Source organism: Homo sapiens, chromosome 3, assembly GCF_000001405.40.
Source record: "Homo sapiens chromosome 3, GRCh38.p14 Primary Assembly".
NCBI lineage: Eukaryota > Metazoa > Chordata > Mammalia > Primates > Hominidae > Homo > Homo sapiens.
This window is the reverse complement of record NC_000003.12, coordinates 187,886,032-187,909,814: the sequence shown is the minus strand read 5'-3', so window position 1 is coordinate 187,909,814 and position 23,783 is coordinate 187,886,032. Positions and strand designations below refer to the sequence as shown.

General features: G+C 42.1%; 2 long non-coding RNA genes across 2 annotated transcripts in view, besides 4 other annotated features; one reads left to right on the top strand and one right to left on the bottom strand.

Moving 5' to 3' along the window:
• Positions 1-6,940: 6,940 nt before the first annotated feature.
• On the bottom strand, positions 6,941-12,192 carry LOC124906315 (uncharacterized). Its single transcript, XR_007096212.1, has 3 exons — positions 11,511-12,192; positions 7,961-11,370; positions 6,941-7,860 (listed from the first exon to the last, which is right to left on the bottom strand). It is a non-coding gene; the product is annotated as an uncharacterized LOC124906315 (long non-coding RNA).
• Positions 7,469-7,518: an enhancer, noted in NCBI's record as "active region_20971". NCBI's record gives its function as "activates an Ori minimal core promoter by ATAC-STARR-seq in GM12878 lymphoblastoid cells {active_cell/tissue: GM12878}" and the evidence as "EXISTENCE:reporter gene assay evidence [ECO:0000049][PMID:35858748]".
• Positions 7,525-8,026: an enhancer, noted in NCBI's record as "H3K4me1 hESC enhancer chr3:187619577-187620078 (GRCh37/hg19 assembly coordinates)". NCBI's record gives its function as "activates a minimal SCP1, AML or CMV promoter by ChIP-STARR-seq in naive H9 embryonic stem cells {active_cell/tissue: H9 hESC(naive)}" and the evidence as "EXISTENCE:reporter gene assay evidence [ECO:0000049][PMID:30033119]".
• Positions 18,851-19,454: an enhancer, noted in NCBI's record as "H3K27ac-H3K4me1 hESC enhancer chr3:187608149-187608752 (GRCh37/hg19 assembly coordinates)". NCBI's record gives its function as "activates a minimal SCP1, AML or CMV promoter by ChIP-STARR-seq in naive H9 embryonic stem cells {active_cell/tissue: H9 hESC(naive)}" and the evidence as "EXISTENCE:reporter gene assay evidence [ECO:0000049][PMID:30033119]".
• LOC105374264 (uncharacterized) overlaps positions 19,113-23,783 on the top strand; it is a 59,909-nt gene continuing 55,238 nt past the window's right edge. The window contains exon 1 of the long non-coding RNA XR_924813.3: positions 19,113-19,601. This is a non-coding gene — a long non-coding RNA (uncharacterized LOC105374264). The remainder of the gene's footprint in view (positions 19,602-23,783) is intronic.
• Positions 19,455-20,058: an enhancer, noted in NCBI's record as "H3K27ac-H3K4me1 hESC enhancer chr3:187607545-187608148 (GRCh37/hg19 assembly coordinates)". NCBI's record gives its function as "activates a minimal SCP1, AML or CMV promoter by ChIP-STARR-seq in naive H9 embryonic stem cells {active_cell/tissue: H9 hESC(naive)}" and the evidence as "EXISTENCE:reporter gene assay evidence [ECO:0000049][PMID:30033119]".

Genomic DNA, 23,783 nt, shown 5'->3' with positions numbered 1-23,783 from the left:
TGTAGAACGAACATGATCATTTAATAATATTCACTGTGCTACTCTATTTTCCTAGTGTTGTGGGGAACACAAATTTGAAGAAAATAAGGTTTCTGGGCCAAGTGCAGTGGTTCATGCCTGTATTCTCAACACTTTTGGAGGCCAAGGCAGGAGGATCACTTGAGGCCAGGAGTTCTAGAGCAGCCTAGGCAGCTTAGTGAGACCCTGTCTCTACCAAAAAAAAAAAAAAAAAATAGCTGAGTATGGTGGTGTCCACTTGTAATGTTAGTTACTTGGGAGGCTGCGATGGGAGAATCAGTTGATCCCAGGAGTCAGAGGCTGCAGTGAACTATGATTGTGCCACTATACTCCAGGATGGGGGACCCTGTCTCAAAAAAAAATTCTGCTTAAGTAGCTTACAATTTATAAACAGAGGTAAATTACTGAATATAATACAGGGTTGAGTTATGCCAAAAGTTGTAACAGTAATATAAACTAGTGCTTCCAGAACTTTTCTGCACATTGAACTGCCTAAGGAGCTTAAGAAAATCGTGACTGCTGTATCCTATTCCCAGAGATTCTGATTTAATTGGTTTGAGGTGTACGCTGGGCTTTCTAAGTTTTAAAAGATCCCCAGATGATTCTAATCTGTACTGGCCTAGTAGACGAACTGGGAGACACACACACACACACATACACACACACATACACACACATACACACACACATACACACACACACAAAGATATTTTAATAGAGAAATTTGAAATGTTTTCATGGAGGAGTAGAGTATAGAATTCTACTTGAGGCCTGGTGTGATGGCTCAAGCCTGTAATCCCAGCACTTTGGGAGGCCCAGGTGGGCAGATCACCAGGTCAGGAAATCAAGACCATCCTAGCCAACATAGTGAAACCCCGTCTCCACTAAAAATACAAAAATTAGCTGGGCTTGGTGGCGTATGCCTGTAGTCCCAGCTACTCAGGAGGCTGAGGCAGGAGAATCGCTTGAACCCGGGAGGAGAAAGAATTCTACTGGAGATTCAGTTTAATAGTGAGGATTAAGTTGCTGGCTTTGCAGTTATAAACTGGAATTTGAACTTCAACTCTGTATCTTAGTGGCTGTGTGTTCTTGGGTGAGTTACCTGCCCTGTCTGAGGAGCAGCCATGAGCAGCAGCACACAGGGTCTGCAGGAGTGCAGAGAATATGGAGAAGGCAATGTGGGGTAAGGGGCAGGGAGGGGGCACATAGCTTTTCCTGCTGAGAAAAGGTGGAGATTTACAAGAGAGCATACTCAGAGGAGACAGAAAAGAAGTGGTGGATGAGGTAGATCTTGAAGAGGAAAGATTGTTCCTAATATCCAGAAAAATCTCTTCTCCCCATCCAGCCCTCTCACCCAGATAAAAAGTCGGTTTGGCTGAGTTTCTGCTATGATCTAGAATACAAATCAAGAAACCACGGCTAAAGAGCCAGACCAGAGTCACATTCTTCCCAACAGATCTTCACAAGCTGGGCGCAGGAGCCTCTTCATCAGCTGCTTCCTCCAGTTGCGTTTCTCGGGCCCTTGGGCAGTCCCAATGAGAACAGAGGAAATTATTGAAAAATTGCCTATTAAGTATATAATGAAAGGTCAACAAACTAAAAAATTGAATATAATGAACAGAATACTGAGAATAAAATACCCACACTCTGAGTAAATGCAGATCTGCTCAAGTTAGCAATTGATTGCTTTTATTGGTTCTATTGTAAGGTTGGCTTAAGTAATAAGTGGCTATTACACTGAGAATGTTGGTTCCTTAAGTTCTGTCAGGAGGCCCATGACAGGGTTGAAAGAAATAAAACTACATTTTCAAATGAAAAACTAGTTTTGTTAGAGGATAGCAAAGAATTTCAATAAGATTGTCACATGAATTGCAAATGCTTGGAGGAGGATGCTGTAGACGTTTTGCAGAACAGAATCAAGTTATAAAATGTAGAGGCTACAAAGGGCTTTGGGGTTCATCTCATCCAATCTTCTGTGTGTATAGATGGGAACATGAGAGTCCAGAGTGGTGACATGATTTGTGCAAGGTCACATAGTAAAATAAATGCTGAAGAGGGAAGGCAAATTAGTTTCTTTGTCACCTAGATCTCATTTTCCACAAGGAATAAAACACCTTTGAAAAAAAATATTTTCAGTCAGGAAAAGCTGGGCTTTTCTTGAGTGACAGGTTACTTAACAACTGTTGAACCTTGTCACACACCTATGATATGGCCACAGGACTCCGTGAATTTTGTAAAACAATCTTATTTCTTCAATCCCTCTTCCTATCTCACCTTTACCTTTTCTTGCCTCATTTTCTTTCCTTTTTTTTTGCATTAATTTATCTTTGTTATATTAGAAGTATCAGTACAATTTATCTTAAATTTTTTGTGGAACAAGATAGGATAAAAAGATGTAAGTAGCTTCATTTGACTTGTACCATGCTCTCATCATAGACAGAATTTATATTTATTGAATATTCTCTATGTGTGTATATATATTATTATTTTTAAAAATTCTCTTGACATCACCGTGAAGTGTGCTATATCGTTATTTTCATTTTGCAAGTGGGAAAACGAATCTTGTAGATGTGAAGAAATTGTCTGGATCATACAACTGGAAGGGAGGAGGTTGAATTCAGCTGTGGGTGACCTCAGGGTTCATGATCCTCCCCTATGCTGGGTGACTTACTGTAGATCTTCATTGCCCTGGAGCAGGAAAGCTGGCTGTGTGCACTGAGTGGCCCGAATACACTGTTTCTCCACAATTCTCTGTTGCTCGATTCTTCAGAAGTGTCTATTTATTTCACTCAGCAAGACCTCAAATATTACTCCAAACAACTGGCTTCCAAAGAGTTGGCTATTTTCCCTGTTTTTAATGTTGGGAGAAGAAACTCAACCAGTCATTTTTCTTTTTTTACTCCGTTACTTTACAAGAATAAAAATAATCATATTAAGATGTCAAAAATAAATTTTAAATGTGCAAATGTGGGAGAAAGACACCTCCTCTCTGGGAGAATCCAAAGTAATTTAAATATACTCCTGTGTGCTCTTTGTGTGAAATGCAGTGGCCACAGTTCAAATTAAGATGTTAACAAGATATTAATAAGAATGAGCTGGGAATAAACACGGGATTGCAAAATCAGTTCACAAAGTCATTTAAATTAGGAGCACACGATGTGATTGGGAGTCTGCATGCCCTGCCCCTGTTGTCTGTGCTGGCTCCTAGGAGACAGGCCTCCTTTCCACTGCTTCTTCTACTGACAAGTTGATGGGCGTACCTTCTCTGTGCCCAGTCCTGAGCCAGAAATGAATAGGAGAATAAAAGAACTAGCTCTTGCCCTTAGCGAGGTCCAGTGTGGTTGATGAATTTGACTTTGGTTAGAGTGAGCAAAGCTTACGCCCAAGAAACTATTAGAGTTCATTATACCCAAGCAGGGTTAATTTCAGAGCTGAATGGCTGATACTATAAATTTTGACTACTGTAAAGTTCTACAGTGATGGAGCTTGGGGTAACCTCAGGGATACTTGTGAAAACCCTCATTATATAGAGGGAGTGGGTTCCAGGAAGACCCAGGGAGAGAAAGGGACTGGCCCAGAATATTACAGCTAGTTAATGGTAATAATCATGGCTATTCATTTGTTATCAGACCCCGTGCTATACAGTGTATATATTCAACTTCTTATCTAATCCATGACAGTGTTGTGAGGCAGGCATTGTCCTGTTTAGGGATAAGGAAACTCAGGCATAGAGTTGGGAGCTTCTTGCCTGTGATCACATAAGATAGCTGTAGAGGAGGGATTTGAATCCCCTTTACGTCTGACTGCAAAGACCATTTTTTTTAACCTTTAAAAACAGATATGGGACTAGCATCTAGAATCAATTTCACTTTGGTGTAATGCTTCCTTTAGCATAGAGAACCTTTGGTATATTCACTGATTTATTTGATATGCATTTTTCCGAGGGCTGACTATAAGCAGATCTTGGGCTAGACCCTGGGGATATAAAAAATTAATAAGTGTAAGTTCTTAACCTCCTGGAGCTCAAAGTATAATGTAGTGACTGACACATGAAAAGGAAAATTACAGTACAGTGTGATAAGTGTTATTATGGAGACATAAATAAGTGCTGTGAGAGATTGGGGCAGAGCGAAGGGTTCTGCCTGGAGGAAATAAGGGGCAACATCACAGAAATGGTGAAATGGGAGTTTGGGCCTTGAAATATGAGTTTACCAATCACAGGAGGCCAGAAGTACTTTCCAGAAAAAGGTAACAGCACATGCAAAGGCCCCAAATTGTGAAAGGAATTGGTACGTTTGGTTAAGAAGTTCAGAGTGGCTGTGTGGGGTGGCAAAGCTGAGGATGAAGCTTGAGATCAGATTGTTAAGTGTTATGTTCCCCAGCCAAGGAATTTTGTCTCAAGTTTATGGGCAATAGATCATCAATAGGGATTCCTAAGCAAAAGTGTGTCTTGGTTAGATTTGCTTTTTAGGAAGATAACCCAAGGAGACATGGAGGACAGAGAGCAGATGTTGCCGTGGTCCTGCTGAAAACTAATGAGGGCTTGAGCCAAAGCATTGTGGATGGAGGGGAGGGGTGGATGAGGCCTATTAATTTCTGAAGTTAAACTCCTAGGGTTTGTTGACTGACATGCGGAGGGTAAAGGAAAGGAAGTGTCTAAGGAAGACTCTGTGATTTCTAGCTTTAGAAGTAGAGTGGAAAAATATGCTGTTAACCAAGGCTGAACACAAAGGACACAGAGCACATTTGGTGAATCTATAGGAGAGGGCTCTTTGGAGCACAGTATTTTAAGTTTCTGTAAAAAACACCCCACTAGAGATGTGAATAGGCTTTTGGGAAGACAGAGATGGTTTTTGCGGGAGAAGTAGGGACTAGAGTCATCAGGGTATAATGGTACTTAAAGCTCTAGAACCAAATGAGTGTTCCCAGGGAACTTTGGGTGGTGGGGTCAGGGGGAATAGATAGGCTCAAGGTGAAATCTTGAAGCATCCCAACATTAAAGTGTGGGCAGCATAGAAGAGACTGTGGAGAACCAGGAGAGAATTTCAAGACTGATGAAGAGTTGGTTTTTAGTGCAAATACCACTTTGGGAATGAGGAGGATGAAGACTGCAAAGAAATCATTTGATTTGACAATGAGGAGGTCACCAGGGACCTCATCAAGAGGGTTTTCAGTGGTGTGAGTATGTGTGTGGTTGTTTATAAGCCAGGTTGTAGTGGGTGGGGTGTAGGCAAGGAGTGAGATCATGAAGATGGCAATACATACTCAATAAATTTAGCTGTGAAGAGGAGACAGCTTTATCAATTACTGGATGAAAAAAATGGTTTTAAGAATTTAGAGAGATTCAAGGACACTGATAGGCTGAAAGAAAGGAGTTCCAGAAACAGGAGAGACTGATAATCCAAGAGGTAAAGAGGATAACTGGTGAAGCAGGTCCTTGAAGAAGGCTGAAGAGAAAGGGACTAGTTCATAGGTGGTTGGACCAGCCATGGTGAGAAGAGATCCCTCCACCTCTCTTCTTACCATCAGGGAAGAGGAACAGAGAGGTTTGCTGGTGGTGTGTTTAGAAGAGGAGGAGCAGGAGAAACTCAGAGGAAATATAGTGATTGTTATGGACTGAACGCTCATGCTTCTCACCCACCACCAACTGTATATGTTGAAGCATATCCAAAGTGTGATGGTATTTGGAGGTGAGGCGTCTTGTAGATAATTAGAGTAGGAGGGTGGGACCTCATGAATAGCATCGGTGCCCTTATAAAAAGATCTCAGGGAGCTCTCTAGCACCTTTACTACCATGTGAGTGTAAAACAAGAAGTTGGCAGTCTGCAGCCTAGATGACGGCCCTCACCAGCACCCGACCATACTGGCACTCTGACCTTGGACTTCCAGCCTCCAGACTGTGAGAAATAGATTTTTCTTGTTTTTTGTTGCCATGCAGTCTACACCACTTTGTTGTAGAACTCAATCTGACAGTGAGATTCTAGTTGCATCCCATCATTGCATAGATGGGGAAATGGAGACTCAGAGAAGTGGAGCAATTTGTTCCAGTTTGTGATACAAGTAAATGGGGGAGCCACGGCTGTGAATGGCATCTCCTGACCCCCATGCCTGTGCTCTTTTCACTCCCCACCTGCTTCTCAGACTCTCATGGCCTGGGGAAGATCCTGAAACAAGGGAGGATGAGCAGTGATATCTAACAAATATGCCAAAAGCGAGGTGAACTGCTTTGAGATTTCACCTTGAGTCTATCTAACAAATGATATCTAACAAATGTACCTCCTCACAACCAGGCACAAGCTCCTCAGAGACAAGACCCTTCGGAATGTCTTCTGGGCTTGTCAAATAGGCTCAAATATACTTAATACTCTGTGAATCTCCTTTGAGGCACCTGGCCCTGCATTCTTCACAAATAACCACATAAAATAAGAACTCTAAGACCCTCATCTTTTTCTGGTGTCAGCTCTCACTTGCTTTCTCTCAGCTAGTTCTTTCCATACCATCCTCACTTGCTTCTTACACCTACATTCTATGGCTTCCAGCAGATGCCTGGAATTTTCTTGCCAGATTCTCCCTAAATGAAGATTCCTCTGGCTCACCTTCCTGTGGTCACCCTGAGTAAGGCTCTCTTGGCACTTTGCAGTCCCAGAGTCCCTCATGCAGGCAGGGATCCTCTAAGGGCAGGTTTTCACTGACATCACCCTAACTTCCTCAAGTGGAACTTGAACATATTAGTCATTTCATGCTAATGCCACAGTTTTTACTAATTTATATTTTTTTAAAATAGTTTTTTAAAATTTTTTAAAAAATTATTAATCCAGTAACTGTTGAGAGGATAGTGCCTGGTGGGGGAAGGAGCGATGAGTCAGACACAGTCTCTGTTTTCAAGGAGTTTTTGTCTAATATTAGGGAGCAAAACAGCAAATTAAACAGCAAGTGTGAAAGTGATTAGCAGGGTGCCCAGCTTAATAGGTGAGAAATTATTTTCATTTAAAAACTGATATACATAAATATCTGAGAAGGGATAAAGGTGGTTCTAAGAACAAGGAGATTCCTAGATTTAGTTAGAAGCACAAGGGAAGAAGTTGAATATGAACATGAAGCATGAGTCAGGTTTGAGCAGGCAAAGGTGGGATTGTTGGGGGGGTGGGCACATTTCAGATGAAGAGAGCTTGTCTAATATGCCACTGTGTTTACAGGTGAAGCCAGCTATTGAGAGAAAACCTGGAAGTTTAGTGTCTCTTGTCCCACAGCAATGGAGTACAAGAACTGAGACCCATGCCAAATGCTGTGATTCCCAGGGCTGGTGGCCATGTGCAGGACTAGTTCCCAAGGAGAAGGGCCAGAGGGCTTTGGGCGCTCCTCCCTGCCCCCATTCTGACTCATTGTGGGACCGAGCTGAGTTTAGCGCTTCATTTCCCTTCTTCAGGCCAGCGCGATTTGAATGCACCTGCCTCCCTTCTGTCCCCGCTGCCTGGTGAGGATGGCCGTTGTGAGGGGCAGGGAGTACTTCCTAATTGTGTTCCTGTGGTCTAGGTCCCACGTGAAGGCTCTTGGCGGTCTCACTCAAATGAGGTGGGGGCAGCCTGACCGCTCAGTCACACTTGGAGGATGGGTTGGCTAGTTCTTCTCACCCTCTGGTCTGGTTTTGAAGTTGCAAATTTCTTAAGTTGCTCTTAAGAAAGGTGTGGGCCAGGGCTGGCGGCGGTGAAGTGGAGTGGCGGCGGTGAAGTGGAGTCTTCAGAGAGCTGTCAGGTCTCAGCCACTGTGCTCCGTATCTTCCTCCTGTGCATCCTATTAGCTCCGGAGCTCCCAACCTTCTCCTTTCCACAAAATTAGACACATCTGAAATGCAGAGCAAATAGTCTCACAGGGGAAAAAACAAAAAAGATGAGGCAGTGGAGGAAGGGGGAGACAGTAAAAACTACAAAATATTTCCATGCACCTGGAAGGGTTAGTGTCCTTCCATGCAAAGTGAGTTTGTCTGGAAACTCCTGCTACACGGATTGAGGGTTCACCTTGTTTATCTGCCAGGACACAAGAGCTTGGCTTATCCATCCAGGGCATTGCTCCCACCAACCACACCTGCACAGTGGTGAAGAAACTACAGAACTCTGAGATGTATTATTATCACACCATCCTCAGGAACTGGGAGACAGTAGGGTCAATGTTCTATACAGCAATTAGAGGTGCTGACCTGTTTGAATTCTCTTGGTCTCCAGGGCAGAGGATGTTGGTGGTGATGATGATAATGCTATCAATAACTTTCTGTCATAGTGAGTCATACTGCTACAAAGGACTTTCACATTTATTGACTCATTTTATCTCAAAAGCGCAATGGAGACCCCATTCACCTTCAGAGTATCCCCAAAAGATAAGCCACCATGGCTAGTAAGTGGACTTCAGTATAGACTCATTATTTAGAGCGGAATATAGTGGAACTTTTGGGATTTGCATTGTGGTCTTGCCCTTACCAGCTGGGTGACCTTAGACAAACCACTTCACCCCGCTGAGCCTTAGCTTCTTCATATGTAAAAATGTGTTAATAATAACTGTCTCAGAGGGCTATTGTAGGGGTTTAAGTGACTTCATGTAAATAAAAAGGCCATTATAAACTCTAAAACATTATGCAAATATTAATTGCCTTCTATACAAGAATGGGCTATTTGCAAAAATGAATGTAAATATAGTTTGAGATGGCAGGTGTGACGTGCCTGAAAGAGCACTTTACTTGGGATCTGAAGATGTGTTTTCTATTTTGGCCTCTACATGTCAGGTGGCAGTGAGGAGTGTGGCTTTCAGACAGGCAAACACAACCATGCAAAAAAAAACGGTGGCCACCATCCGCCTGTCACCTTGTCACCTATGGTAGACTGAATGATGGTCCCAAAGATGCCCATGTCCTAATTCCTGGAACCTGGGACTATGTTCTCCTACATGTTAAAGGGACTTTGCAGATGTGATTAAGTTAGGGGTCATGAAGTGCAGAGATTATCCCATGTCATCCAGATGGGTCCATTGTAAGGTGTAGGAGGAGAGTTGTGTGACAATGGAAACAGAGATTATATGCATTGAAGATGGAGGAAGGGGCCACAAGTCAAAGAATATGAGAATCTCTGGAAGCTGAAAAAGGCAAGGAAATACATTCTCCCCTACAGCCTCCAGAAGGAACTCTCCCTGCTGGCAGCTTGATTTGAAAGCCCAGAGAAATTAATGTTGGATTTTTGGTTTCCAGAACTGTAAAAGGATAAATTTATGTCATTGTAAGCCACCAAGTTTGTGCTGGCTTTGTTACAATGGCAATAGGTAACTCGTGTATACCACCTCAAAATAATTCGGCTCCTATTTTCTTTCTCCCAACCTGAATCCAACTTCTGAATAGGCTAGTGGGCATTCCCAAGTTTTCCTCTACTTTTTTGGTGGGCCAGCCTGGAGCTGACCTTTCTAATTCTGCACAGCTTATGCATCACTGGGATTGATAAATGATAAACTAACTCATTGGTTCTGCACCCTAGATTGGCTGGAGCTCTTCCTAGGGGTACTCAGGCTCAGGAAATGCAGCCTTTGTGGCTTTGAGCAAGTCAGTTAAACTCATGGGCTCTCTATTTTTTCATCTGTCATTTGGGGATAAAATTTCTTTCTATGCCTACCTCACAGGGTGAAGACTTAAGAGAAATGATATCAATGAAAGCTCTCTGCCACTTGTAAAATGCTCTACAGGTATGAACCCTGTTATCATCATCATTAGCATTATTTTATTTTTAAAAGAGTAAAAACGTTATTAAATGAAATGAGTTATAAGTAAGAGTTTCTGTTTTTTTCTTTCTTTAACTTTTATTTTATGTTTGGGGGTGCATGTGAAGGTTTGCTACATAGGTAAACACTTGCCATGGGGGTTTATTGTAAATATTATTTCATCACCCAGTACCCAATAGTTATCTTTTCTTCTCTTTCTGCTCCCAGCCTCTCTTGGTATTATTTTTAAAATATCGAATTTTCCAGCTTAATCTCTTTCAAACTTAATATATATGTTGTGGCAATTGACAGACACTCTGATTCTAGACAAGGCTAAAATAATCCTAAGGAGAATATCCAGTTGAGCATTGGCTTTTAAATATCTGGATTATTCATAAGCTTGAACTTCCAGTATGGACCCCAAAATATAAAAAACAGATGCTGTGGGGCCATTAAATAATTGTTCAGTAATATCACCCATTTGGAGATGGTGAGGCTGGGCAAATTTCACTTGCCTTTCTCTTCGTGGAACTGAAAATGGAAAAGACACATGCTAATCAGAAACACGGTCATCTGAAAACAGGGGCTTTAAAAATATCTTTCGGCCACAAGATTGCCAAGAGCAGAGGAGCTGTGCATTACTGCAAAGCCCTGCTTGTTATATCTTGCCAGTGAATAATGAAGACTCCCACTAGTGACAGGCTCTTTCTCAAACACTAAAACCACAATTTACCTAAAGCTCGCCCTGGACCCTCAGAATCATTTATTTGCCACAACCTCACTAGTCTTCTCTGACTTGATGAGGATTACAAAAAACTCCAACAATCATCTGGTAAATTTGCTCAGAGGAGCAGAGAATATTAGAATGCAAGGGGAAGGCATTGGTGGAGGGGGCTAACATTCATCAACCACTTAAGTCAAGTTTCAAGACTCTACTTTTCCACACATACTATCTAATTTTACACTACTGTTCTATTTTTGTGGCTATTATCCCCATTTTACAGAAGAGGAATCTGGGGTTAGAGAGATTAGGTAACTTCAGAAGATCGTAGGAGAATGTGGTAAAGCTGGCTTTCCACACTGTGTCTAGTTCATCCCTTTACAAAAAAAGGAAAACGAGAGGAATTGATTGCCTCAGGATCATGCACTTACTTGGTGCCCCTTGAGTTCTAAAAGTCAGGCTCGCTGAATAATTTGTCTTGACCCCCCACTTTGAATCTACTCCCAAAGGGCTTTCCCCTGTTACTAGAGATGCCCCTGGCATGTGTCTCTGCTGCTGTAACCAGATTCAGCAGCAGAATGGAGAAAGGGGCATGTCCCAGTTGCTATTGAGGCATAACAAAGCAACCCAAGCTTAGTAGTTTAAACTGTGGGTTAGAAACTTAGGGGAGACTAGGCTGGGCATTTATGGCTCGGGAGCTCTCATGTGGTTGCAGACAGTGGCTGAAGCTGGAAGAGTTGGGGAGGAGGGTACTGGAGCAGTGGGAGGCAGGCCAGGCATCTTTCAGGGTCCCTCCACATAATCCTTCTTTATGGACCACTTTGGGTTTCCTCACAGCATGGCAGCCTCAGGGCAGTTGGACTGCTTCCTTGGCAGTTCAGTGGTCCACATGCTAGACCCTAGAGAACAAGGAGGCAATGGCATCATTTTCTTTATGACATACCTTCAGAGATCACACAACATCACTTACTCTATATTAGAATGATTGAAAGTGAGTCACAACCCCACCCAGATTCAGAGGAAGGAGACTTGACCTCACCTTTCGATGGGAGAAGGCCATGTAGTATGGCAGTCTGTCATGGCGAGAAAAGGCTGCAACAGTCGGAGCAAGATGAGGGATCTCAAACACTGAGAAGAGGGCCAGTTATTTGTGCACAAGAATATAAACACAGTCTCTTATTGACAGAGAAGCGCCTTTATGAAGAGAACCTGGAAGAACACTAGCAATACCCTATTACTTAGCAAAAGAGTGTATTAAGCTGACAGCGGGACAGGGGCATATTAGAGAAGGTCCCCAGATTATGTCTGGGAAGATCAATCAGTTTGGCAAAAAGCTCACAGAGCAGGGATTCCTGGAAGCTAGTAGAAAGAGTTCTATACAAATTGCCAGATTATATCTTACAGACTCAACCTTTTCTTTGAAAACATTAAAGAACTTAAGTTTTCTAAATCGCTTAGTTGCCTTAAAACATCCCTATGTTCCCCCCAACTTAGCCGAACGTTAATAGATTCTGGATATATATTAATGACCATTTCCATTCAATTATCCTTCGATAAAGCTATTTTAAAAAAATGAAAAGGAAATGCTATCTACCAGGTTGCTTTTTACTTTATTTGATGTATTTTTATTTCTTAAATGAGCATTTACCTTTACCAAGTTCTATTCTATGTTCTGGTATAAACAAACATGAGAGCACCCTGCCCTCCACAGGTGAGAGCCACCCACTCAATACAGAGGGGGCAGGGGGTACGGGGGGGGGAGCCATGTGTATCCCATGAATGAAATCCCAGGCCCACGTTTCTGAAGGTACCATGTGGAAGATAGTATTTAAATCCTGCTGTGTGTATGACTGATTTAAACCCCTGGTTCAAGTACATGGTTGTTAGTTGAGCGTTCTCCTCGGGTCATTCATTGTGTGAATTAAAAGAAACAAGGTATGTGAAGTACTTGGCACTTGGCATGTGGTGGGCATTCAGAAAAGTGGACTGCTTTTATTGGGTTGGGTTTTATTATAATTTAATATTAACATTGTGGTATGAAAAGTGACTTCCTGTTTACAAATCACTTTCTTATTTTTCATCTTATTTAATGATAGCAATCCAGTGATTCAGGCATTGTAATTATGGTCCCGACTTTACACACTGGGACATTGATAGTCAGGGAGGTCAAGTGACTTACCTGGGGTCTCTTAGCTAATACGCGGCAGAGCGGGGATTTGGAACCCAGCAATGACACCAAAGCGATCCCTTTTCACCTTACCATGCTGTTCCCTAAATTGACAGATGACCTTGTGCAAGCATTCCATAGCCCACCCTTCAATCTGGCCTTCAATTTCTACATCTGCAAAGTGAGAGGACTGAATTAAATTATGTTTGAGGCCCCATCCAGGTTCCAGCGACTCTGATTAAAAGCGTATGTTCAAGCACAGACCCTGCTTGCTGCAGAGCTCCTTGTGAAGATCCGAGCCCGGCTCCAGAGGGGGCTAGAGCCTGGACCTGTGCCCAAATCACAGGCCTGGCTTGGCGTCCATCACTGTCTTTGACTGCCAAAGGACAGAATTCTCTAGAGGACCTAACTCCAATCTGGCCAACTTCTGATGGCCTAAATTATCCTCTGACCTCGAACTTTTGATCATCTGAAGCTTATTTTAAAAATGGCTTAGAAATAGCCATTACATCTCTCTGGAGACCCCTTCCTTTCTTACCCTCATTACGTTCCTCCAACAACAGGGAAGGGAAACTGCGAGACAGGCAATCTGTATGTAATTTTTGTCTCTACTGCTGCCTTTCTGTGTGACCCTGGGCAAGTCATGTCATAAACAGAGGCTTATCAATAAGGGTTATCCTTTCTTAAGGATCTAGGAAGCCATGTGGCTTCCCCTTCAGAGAGAATTGGAAGACCTAGTACACATGACTTCAAGGTAAGAAAACCATCAGATTTTCTGTAACAATTAGAAAAATCATTCAGGGCTAGTCTACTTTAATTGCCCTTCTTTAAAAACAGTTTTTCTACTGTTTTGAAAAGAAAACAGGTGAGGAAAATGCTTTCTGTATCTGGCCCCAAGAGAGATTTTAAGTCTTTTTTTTTTTTTTTCTTTTTCTTTTCTGTTTTTCTAATATGGTTTTGCCTTTTTTTTTTATTATACTCTACATGTGCACATTGTGCAGGTTAGTTACATATGTATACATGTGCCATGCTGGTGCATTACACCCACTAACTCGTCATCTAGCATTAGGTATATCTCCCAATGCTATCCCTCCCCCCTCCCCTCACCCCACAACAGTCCCCAGAGTGTGATATTCCCCTTCCTGTGTCCATGTGATCTCATTGTTCAATTCCCACCTATGAGTGAGAATATGCGGTGTCTGGTTTTTTGTTCTTGCGATAGTTTACTGAGAATGATGTTTTCCAATTTCATCCATGTCCCTGCAAAGGACATGAACTCATCATTTTTTATGGCTGCATAGTATTCCATGGTGTATATGTGCCACATTTTCTTAATCCAGTCTATCATTGTTGGACATTTGGGTTGGTTCCAAGTCTTTGCTATTGTGAATAATGCCACAATAAACATACGTGTGCATGTGACTTTATAGCAGCATGATTTATAGTCCTTTGGGTACATACCCAGTAATGGGATGGCTGGGTCAAATGTATTTCCAGTTCTAGATCCCTGAGGAATCGCCACACTGACTTCCACAATGGTTGAACTAGTTTACAGTCCCACCAACAGTGTAAAAGTGTTCCTATTTCTCCACATCCTCTCCAGCACCTGTTGTTTCCTGACTTTTTAATGATTGCCATTCTAACTGGTGTGAGATGGTATCTCATTGTGGTTTTGATTTGCATTTCTCTGATGGCCAGTGATGATGAGCATTTTTTCATGTGTTTTTTGGCTGCATAAATGTCTTCTTTTGAGAAGTGTCTGTTCATGTCCTTCGGCCACTTTTTGATGGGGTTGTTTGTTTTTTTCTTGTAAATTTGTTTGAGTTCATTGTAGATTCTGGATATTAGCCCTTTGTCAGATGAGTAGGTTGCGAAAATTTTCTCCCATTTTGTAGGTTGCCTGTTCACTCTGATGGTAGTTTCTTGTGCTGTGCAGAAGCTCTTTAGTTTAATTAGATCCCATTTGTCAATTTTGGCTTTTGTTGCCATTGTTTTTGGTGTTTTAGACATGAAGTCCTTGCCCATGCCTATGTCCTGAATGGTAATGCCTAGGTTTTCTTCTAGGGTTTTTATGGTTTTAGGTCTAACGTTTAAGTCTTTAATCCATCTTGAATTGATTTTTGCATAAGGTGTAAGGAAGGGATCCAGTTTCAGCTTTCTACATATGGCTAGCCAGTTTTCCCAGCACCATTTATTAAATAGGGAATCCTTTCCCCATTGCTTGTTTTTCTCAGGTTTGTCAAAGATCAGATAGTTGTAGATATGTGGCGTTATTTCTGAGGGCTGTGTTCCGTTCCATTGATCTATATCTCTGTTTTGGTACCAGTACCATGCTGTTTTGGTTACTGTAGCCTTGTAGTATAGTTTGGAGTCAGGTAGTGTGATGCCTCCAGCTTTGTTCTTTTGGCTTAGGATTGACTTGGCGATGCGGGCTCTTTTTTGCTTCCATATGAACTTTAAAGTAGTTTTTTCCAATTCTGTGAAGAAAGGCATTGGTAGCTTGATGGGGATGGCATTGAATCTGTAAATTACCTTGGGCAGTATGGCCATTTTCACGATATTGATTCTTCCTACCCATGAGCATGGAATGTTCTTCCATTTGTTTGTATCCTCTTTTATTTCCTTGAGCAGTGGTTTGTAGTTCTCCTTGAAGAGGTCCTTCACATCCCTTGTAAGTTGGATTCCTAGGTATTTGATTCTCTTTGAAGCAATTGTGAATGGGAGTTCACTCATGATTTGGCTCTCTGTTTGTCTGTTGTTGGTGTATAAGAATGCTTGTGATTTTTGTACATTGATTTTGTATCCTGAGACTTTGCTGAAGTTGCTTATCAGCTGAAGGAGATTTTGGGCTGAGACAATGGGGTTTTCTAGATATACAATCATGTCGTCTGCAAACAGGGACAATTTGACTTCCTCTTTTCCTAATTGAATACCCTTTATTTCCTTCTCCTGCCTAATTTCCCTGGCCAGAACTTCCAACACTATGTTGAATAGGAGTGGTGAGAGAGGGCATCCCTGTCTTGTGCCAGTTTTCAAAGGGAATGCTTCCAGTTTTTGCCCATTCAGTATGATATTGGCTGTGGGTTTGTCATAGATAGCTCTTATTATTTTGAAATACATCCCATCAATACCTAATTTATTGAGAGTTTTTAGCATGAAGGTTGTTGAATTTTGTCAAAGGCCTTTTCTGCATCTATTGAGATAATCATGTGGTTTTTGTCTTTGGCTCTGTTTATATGCTGGATTACATTTATTGATTTGCATATATTGAACCAGCCTTGCATCCCAGGGATGAAGCCCACTTGATCATGGTGGATAAGTTTTTGATGTGCTACTGGATTCGTTTTGCCAGTATTTTATTGAGGATTTTTGCATCAATGTTCATCAAGGATATTGGTCTAAAATTCTCTTTTTTGGTTGTGTCTCTGCCTGGCTTTGGTATCAGAATGATGCTGCCCTCATAAAATGAGTTAGGGAGGATTCCCTCTTTTTCTATTGATTGGAATAGTTTCAGAAGGAATGGTACCAGTTCCTCCTTGTACCTCTGGTAGAATTCAGCTGTGAATCCATCTGGTCCTGGACTCTTTTTAGTTGGTAAGCTATTGATTATTGCCACAATTTCAGATCCTGTTATTGGTCTATTCAGAGATTCAACTTCTTCCTGGTTTAGTCTTGGGAGAGTGTATGTGTCAAGGAATTTATCCATTTCTTCTAGATTTTCCAGTTTATTTGCGTAGAGGTGTTTGTAGGATTCTCTGATGGTAGTTTGTATTTCTGTGGGATCGGTGGTGATATCCCCTTTATCATTTTTTATTGCGTCTATTAGATTCTTCTCTCTTTTTTTCTTTATTAGTCTTGCTAGCGGTCTATCAATTTTGTTGATCCTTTCAAAAAACCAGCTCCTGGATTCATTAATTTTTTGAAGGGTTTTTTGTGTCTCTATTTCCTTCAGTTCTGCTCTGATTTTAGTTATTTCTTGCCTTCTGCTAGCTTTTGAATGTGTTTGCTCTTGCTTTTCTAGTTCTTTTAATTGTGATGTTAGGGTGTCAATTTTGGATCTTTCCTGCTTTCTCTTGTGGGCATTTAGTGCTATAAATTTCCCTCTACACACTGCTTTGAATGTGTCCCAGAGATTCTGGTATGTTGTGTCTTTGTTCTCGTTGGTTTCAAAGAACATCTTTATTTCTGCCTTCATTTCGTTATGTACCCAGTAGTCATTCAGGAGCAGGTTGTTCAGTTTCCATGTAGTTGAGCGGTTTTGAGTGAGATTCTTAATCCTGAGTTCTAGTTTGATTGCACTGTGGTCTGAGAGATAGTTTGTTATAATTTCTGTTCTTTTACATTTGCTGAGGAGAGCTTTACTTCCAAGTATGTGGTCAATTTTGGAATAGGTGTGGTGTGGTGCTGAAAAAAATGTATATTCTGTTGATTTGGGGTGGAGAGTTCCGTAGATGTCTATTAGGTCCTCTTGGTGCAGAGCTGAGTTCAATTCCTGGTTATCCTTGTTGACTTTCTGTCTTGTTGATCTGTCTAATGTTGACAGTGGGGTGTTAAAGTCTCCCATTATTAATGTGTGGGAGTCTAAGTCTCTTTGTAGGTCACTCAGGACTTGCTTTATTAATCTGGGTGCTCCTATATTGGGTGCATATGTATTTAGGATAGTTAGCTCTTCTCGTTGAATTGATCCCTTTACCATTATGTAATGGCCTTCTTTGTCTCTTTTGATCTTTGTTGGTTTAAAGTCTGTTTTATCAGAGACTAGGATTGCAACCCCTGCCTTTTTTTGTTTTCCATTTGCTTGGTAGATCTTCCTCCATCCTTTTATTTTGAGCCTATGTGTGTCTCTGCACGTGAGATGGGTTTCCTGAATACAGCACACTGATGGGTCTTGACTCTTTATCCAATTTGCCAGTCTGTGTCTTTTAATTGGAGCATTTAGTCCATTAACATTGAAAGTTAATATTGTTATGTGTGAATTTGATCCTGTCATTATGATGTTAGCTGGTTATTTTGCTTGTTAGTTGATGCAGTTTCTTCCTAGTCTCGATGGTCTTTACATTTTGGCATGATTTTCCAGTGGCTGGTACCGGTTGTTCGTTTCCATGTTTAGCGCTTCCTTCAGGAGCTCTTTTAGGGCAGGCCTGGTGTTGACAAAATCTCTCAGCATTTGCTTGTCTGTAAAGTATTTTATTTCTCCTTCGCTTATGAAGCTTAGTTTGGCTGGATATGAAATTCTGGGTTGAAAATTCTTGTCTTTAAGAATGTTGAATATTGGCCCCCACTCTCTTCTGGCTTGTAGGGTTTCTGCCGAGAGATCCGCTGTTAGTCTGATGGGCTTCCCTTTGAGGGCAACCCGACCTTTCTCTCTGGCTGCCCTTAACATTTTTTCCTTCATTTCAACTTTGGTGAATCTGACAATTATGTGTCCTGGAGTTGCTCTTCTCGAGTAGTATCTTTGTGGCGTTCTCTATATTTCCTGAATCTGAACGTTGGCCTGCCTTGCTAGATTGGGGAAGTTCTCCTGGATAATATCCTGCAGAGTGTTTTCCAACTTGGTTCCATTCTCCCCATCACTTTCAGGTACACCAGTCAGACGTAGATTTGGTCTTATCACATAGTCCCATATCTCTTGGAGGCTTTGCTCATTTCTTTTTATTCTTTTTTCTCTAAACTTCCCTTCTCGCTTCATTTCATTCATTTCATCTTCCATCGCTGATACCCTTTCTTCCAGTTGATCGCATCGGCTCCTGAGGCTTCTGCATTCTTCATGTAGTTCTCGAGCCTTGGTTTTCAGCTCCATCAGCTCCTTTAAGCACTTCTCTGTATTGGTTATTCTAGTTAGACATTCTTCTAAATTTTTTTCAAAGTTTTCAACTTCTTTGCCTTTGGTTTGAATGTCCTCCCGTAGCTCAGAGTAATTTGATCGTCTGAAGCCTTCTTCTCTCAGCTCGTCAAAGTCATTCTCCATCCACCTTTGTTCCGTTGCTGGTGAGGAACTGCGTTCCTTTGGAGGAGGAGAGGCACTCTGCGTTTTAGAGTTTCCAGTTTTTCTGTTCTGTTTTTTCCCCATCTTTGTGGTTTTATCTACTTTTGGTCTTTGATGATGGTGATGTACAGATGGGTTTTTGGTGTGGATGTCCTTTCTGTTTGTTAGTTTTCCTTCTAACAGACAGGACCCTCAGCTGCAGGTCTGTTGGAATACCCTGCCGTGTGAGGTGTCAGTGTGCCCCTGCAGGGGGGTGCCTCCCAGTTAGGCTGCTCGGTGGTCAGGGGTCAGGGACCCACTTGAGGAGGCAGTCTGCCCGTTCTCAGATCTCCAGCTGAGTGCTGGGAGAACCACTGCTCTCTTCAAAGCTGTCAGACAGGGACATTTAAGTCTGCAGAGGTTACTGCTGTCTTTTTGTTTGTCTGTGCCCCGCCCCCAGAGGTGGAGCCTACAGAGGCAGGCAGGCCTCCTTGAGCTGTGGTGGGCTCCGCCCAGTTGGAGCTTCTGGGCTGCTTTGTTTACCTAAGCAAGCCTCAGCAATGGCGGGCGCCCCTCCCCCAGCCTCGCTGCCGCCTTGCAGTTTGATCTCAGACCGCTGTGCTAGCAATCAGCGAGACTCCATGGGGTAGGACCCTCCAAGCCAGGTGTGGGATATAATCTCATGGTGCATAAAGCGCAGTATTCGGGTGGGAGTGACCCGATTTTCCAGGTGCCGTCCGTCACCCCTTTCTTTGACTCGGAAAGGGAACTCCCTGACCCCTTGCGCTTCCCGTGTGAGGCAATGCCTCGCCCTGCTTCGGCTCGCGCACGGTGCGCGCACCCACTGACCTGCGCCCACTGTCTGGCACTCCCTAGTGAGATGAACCCGGTACCTCAGATGGAAATGCAGAAATCACCCGTCTTCTGCGTCGCTCACGCTGGGAGCTGTAGACCGGAGCTGTTCCTATTCGGCCATCTTGGCTCCTCCCCCCGAGATTGTAAGTCTTAAATGTAATATTAGTTTGAAATAACACCATTCCTTTTTTTTTTTTTCTGTTTGCCTCTTCCCTGTTTATGGATGGGATCAGATGTGACTGAAGGTCACACAGAAAGTAAGTCTGTGTACCATGCTGATTGAAGTCTTTCTGCACCATGTCCAGGTATTGCTTTTCCCGGGTCATGCCACTTTGCTCAGGTTCTAACTCGTCATCTGGCTTCATTCTGCAGAGACTCAGGCAGGAGACTTCTCTATCCCCTAAAGAAGGGAAAGAGATGCTGGGCTTTGCAGAGGATGAGGAGCATCTCCTTTCTGGCCCCTCTGCCTCCAAATTAAGAAGTTTTGTTTCGGTTTCATTTCAACAGAGAGAGAGAAGAAAGAGCTGCCTGACCCATGCTCCACTTCCAGGACAGAGACAGCTCAGACCCCTCTCCGGTAGCTCTCTGAATGCTGCCAGCAGTCCCCAGAGATAGAGAAGAGGTCAATTGCAACAGCCCTGTGAGAGCAATTGCACAATCTACTACAAGGCCACAGGGCAGGGGATGAGATGATTCTGGCCATGTGGGGCAGTGGATAAAATGCTGGCCAGGCCTCTGGTCACCACTGTGCCACCAACTCACTTTATAACCTAAGGCAAGGTATCAGACCTCTTTAAGCCTTCATTTCCCCATCTGTCAAAGTAGGAAATGTAGTATTTTGCAGAACAAAAAACTATCAGATAGTACCAGATATCCGAAAGTATTAGATAATACCTTAGTATTATCTAACCCAACCTGTTTATTTGATATGCTTGGTAACTGAGTACTGGAGATGGGGAGTGTCTTGCCTAGGGTTACATGGCTGTAAGTAGCAGGGTCACTTCTAGAAGGCAAGACCTCTCCTGCATGCTGAAGTGCTGCTTTCTATTTTAGATGCTCTCCAAGGTTCTCCCCGGCTCCAGGAGTCTGCAGTTCTAAAGACATCTCCCCCTATCAGCTCTGGCTGCCGTCTTTGGACGTAGTCTTGTGTCAGTCACCATATGTTTCTTTTGGGACTCTTGGGGACATATTATGTCCAGCTACTTCCATCATTACAGAGTTCTTCAATGTCATGGAAGGCCATCCAAATGGTCTCAGTAAAGCTTCTGGTGGGTCCTTGTGATGTTTGCACTCATCCAGGATCATTTCAGGGAAAACCTTCAGACAGATGCTGAGCAAGATCAGGGGCAGCATGGCCTTATGTTTATAGAGAGAGACATTATAGTGACCACCAGGAGACCTGTTTTCTAGTCTGACTTGGCCCTTGAATCGCCTTGTGACCTCAGACAAGCTTCCAAGACAGTGTCATATTCAAAACAAATTGTTTGAACTAGATGATCCCTAAAGTATCTTCCAGCTCTGACATTCCATAGCAGAATATTACCAAATCTCTCCATTCCTTGGGGAATTTTGTTTAGAAACTAGGAGGATAATCTTTGCTCCAGGAAATCTGGGAATGCTTGCAGGCCTGAGGATCATAAAACCAATATTAGAAAGGAAACCTAAGAATATAATGTACACTTGGGCCTACCTGAGGGTGAAGGGTAGGAGGAGGGAGAGGAGCAGAAAAAATGACTATTGAGTACTGGGCTTAGTGCCTGGGTGACAAAATAATCTGTACAACAAACCCTTGTGACACAAGTTTACCCAAATAACAAACCTGCACATGTGCCTCTGAACCTAAAATAAAAGTTTAAAAAATATATATAGTGTTCTGTACTTTAGCTCATATTTTCCAGGGTCCATAACAAATGTTCATAACATAATTACATCTTAATTTTCATATGCAGAGAGGTAGATGGGGAGATTGGAATAATGCTTGTTATGGAAATGAATTATACTGTAACAGAATATTATTGCACTTGATTATACTGGGGCGACATGATCGGATCCACAGCTTCACAGACGTAGATCCTGCCTTCAAAGCTCATGTCTTCTCAGGGAAGCTCAGGCATAGGTATAACTAACTCAAATACAAAATATGACATTTTAGACCCAATAGGAAGGATTTTAGAGGGGAGAAAAAACACCTCCTGTTGTGGGGGTATCAGGAAAGTCTTTATGGAGGAGTTTGAATGTGAGATTGGTTTTGGGAAAGAAATGACAAGGAGAGGTAAAAGGGGGCCAATCAGAGGAAATCTATGAATCAAAGCAGAGGCAGGGAAATTATGTGAGGTTTAGCCGCTAGTGAATGGGCCATTTGCCTGGCTAGGGCATAGGGCTGTGAAGAGAAGTGGTGAGAAAGAAGACTAATTATATTTATATGTCATATCTCTTTGGCTAGTACACAAGTACCTTTAGGTCAAAATCTTTGTTCAATTCTTCTTTGTTTCCCTACTAAGGATGACACATAACCATCTCTCAAAACTTTTTTAATGAATAAATCAGTTATATTGCATGGCACTTTTCCTCCCAAACCACCAAGGTACAGTATAGACACAGCCATATCTTAGACTCTGAAATCAGGTTGAATACAATACTTATCCTGTAGATGTGAAGTACCATCCCTCAGCCCTATAACTGCAGATAGGTCATCTCTCACCTGAGGAAGGGAGTTGTGTCATGTTCACCAGCCCCTAATGTTAAAATGTGACATATACATGACCTGTACAAGATGCTGAATTTAGCAACTCTGATGCAGAAAAAAGCCCATCAATTACAGTGCTTTGCGATGGCCTGTGGGGCCAGTTCTAGGGACAGCAAAACAAAGAGAATCTTAGTAATCATCACTGGGTTGCAACAAATGAAATCCCCTAAGAAAATGTGTTGATAAATATTTACTGAGATTCTGTCACTTAGCAATGTAGTAACCAGACTGCTGCCAAAAGAAAAAAAAAAGACTAGGGGGGAATCTGGACTTTCCTGTATCCAGAGTATAGTGGTGGGTAAGAAACCCATATTTCTATTGACATGAGAAAATTGTACAGAACTACTTATATCTGTGTACACATGGGTACAAGTAAAACTAAGGAAATCTGAATAAGATACATAGATTATATCTATGTGATAGCTTAGTTGTGATATTGAACCAGTAAGCAAGATGTTACCATGGAGAGAAACTGAATAAAGGGTACATGGAATCTCTCTGTATTATTTCTTACACCTGTATGTGAATCCACAATTATCTCAAAAATTTGTTTTAAGTCCCAGATGGATTCACTGGTGATTTTTCTAAAAAAGAAATTATACCAATTTTCCACAATCTCTTCTAGAAGATAAAAGGAAAGGGAATACTTCCTAACTCATTCTATGAGGCCAGCATTATCCTAATACCAAAACCAGAAAAAGACATTACATATAAAGAAGTAAACTACAGACCAATATCTCTCATGAACATTGATGAAAAAATGCTCAACAAAATATTAGCAAATTGAATCCAACAATGTATTAAAAAAGTATAAACCAAAACCAAATGGGATTTATCCCAGGTATGTAAGGCTGGTTAAACATTTAAAAATCAATTAATGGAGGCCAGGTGCGGTGGCTCATGCCTGTAATCCCAGCACTTTGGGAGGCTGAGGCAGGTGGATCACCTGAGGTTGGGAGTTTGAGACTAGCCTGAGCAACATGGAGAAACCCTGTCTCTACTGAAAATACAAAATTAGCTGGGTGTGGTGGCACATGCCTATAATCCCAGCTACTCAGGAGGCTGAGGCAGGAGAATCACTTGAACCTGGGAAGCGGAGGTTGTGGTGAGCCGATATCGCGCCATTGCACTCCAGCCTGGGCAACAAGAGCGAAACTCCGTCTAAAAAAAAAAAGGAAAAATAAAATCAATTAATGCAATTAATCACATCAAGAGGCTAAAGAAGAAAAATCGCATGATTATATGACCAGATGCAGAAAAAGCCTTTGACAAAACCCAGCACTCATCCATGATAAAAACTCTCAGCAAAATAGGAATCCGGGGAAACTTCTTCACTTGATAAAGAGCATCTACAAAAATACCTACAGTTAAAATCATACTTAACAGTGAGAAACTCAAAGCTTTCCTACTAAAAACAGGAACAAGGCAAGGATGTACCTTTTCATCACTGGTTTTCAACATCATACTGGAAGTCCTCACTAATGCAATAAGACAAGAAAAGGAAACAAAAGGGATACAAATTTGGAAGGAAGAAATACGACTGTCTTTTTTCACAGAAACAAATGACGTAATTATCTAC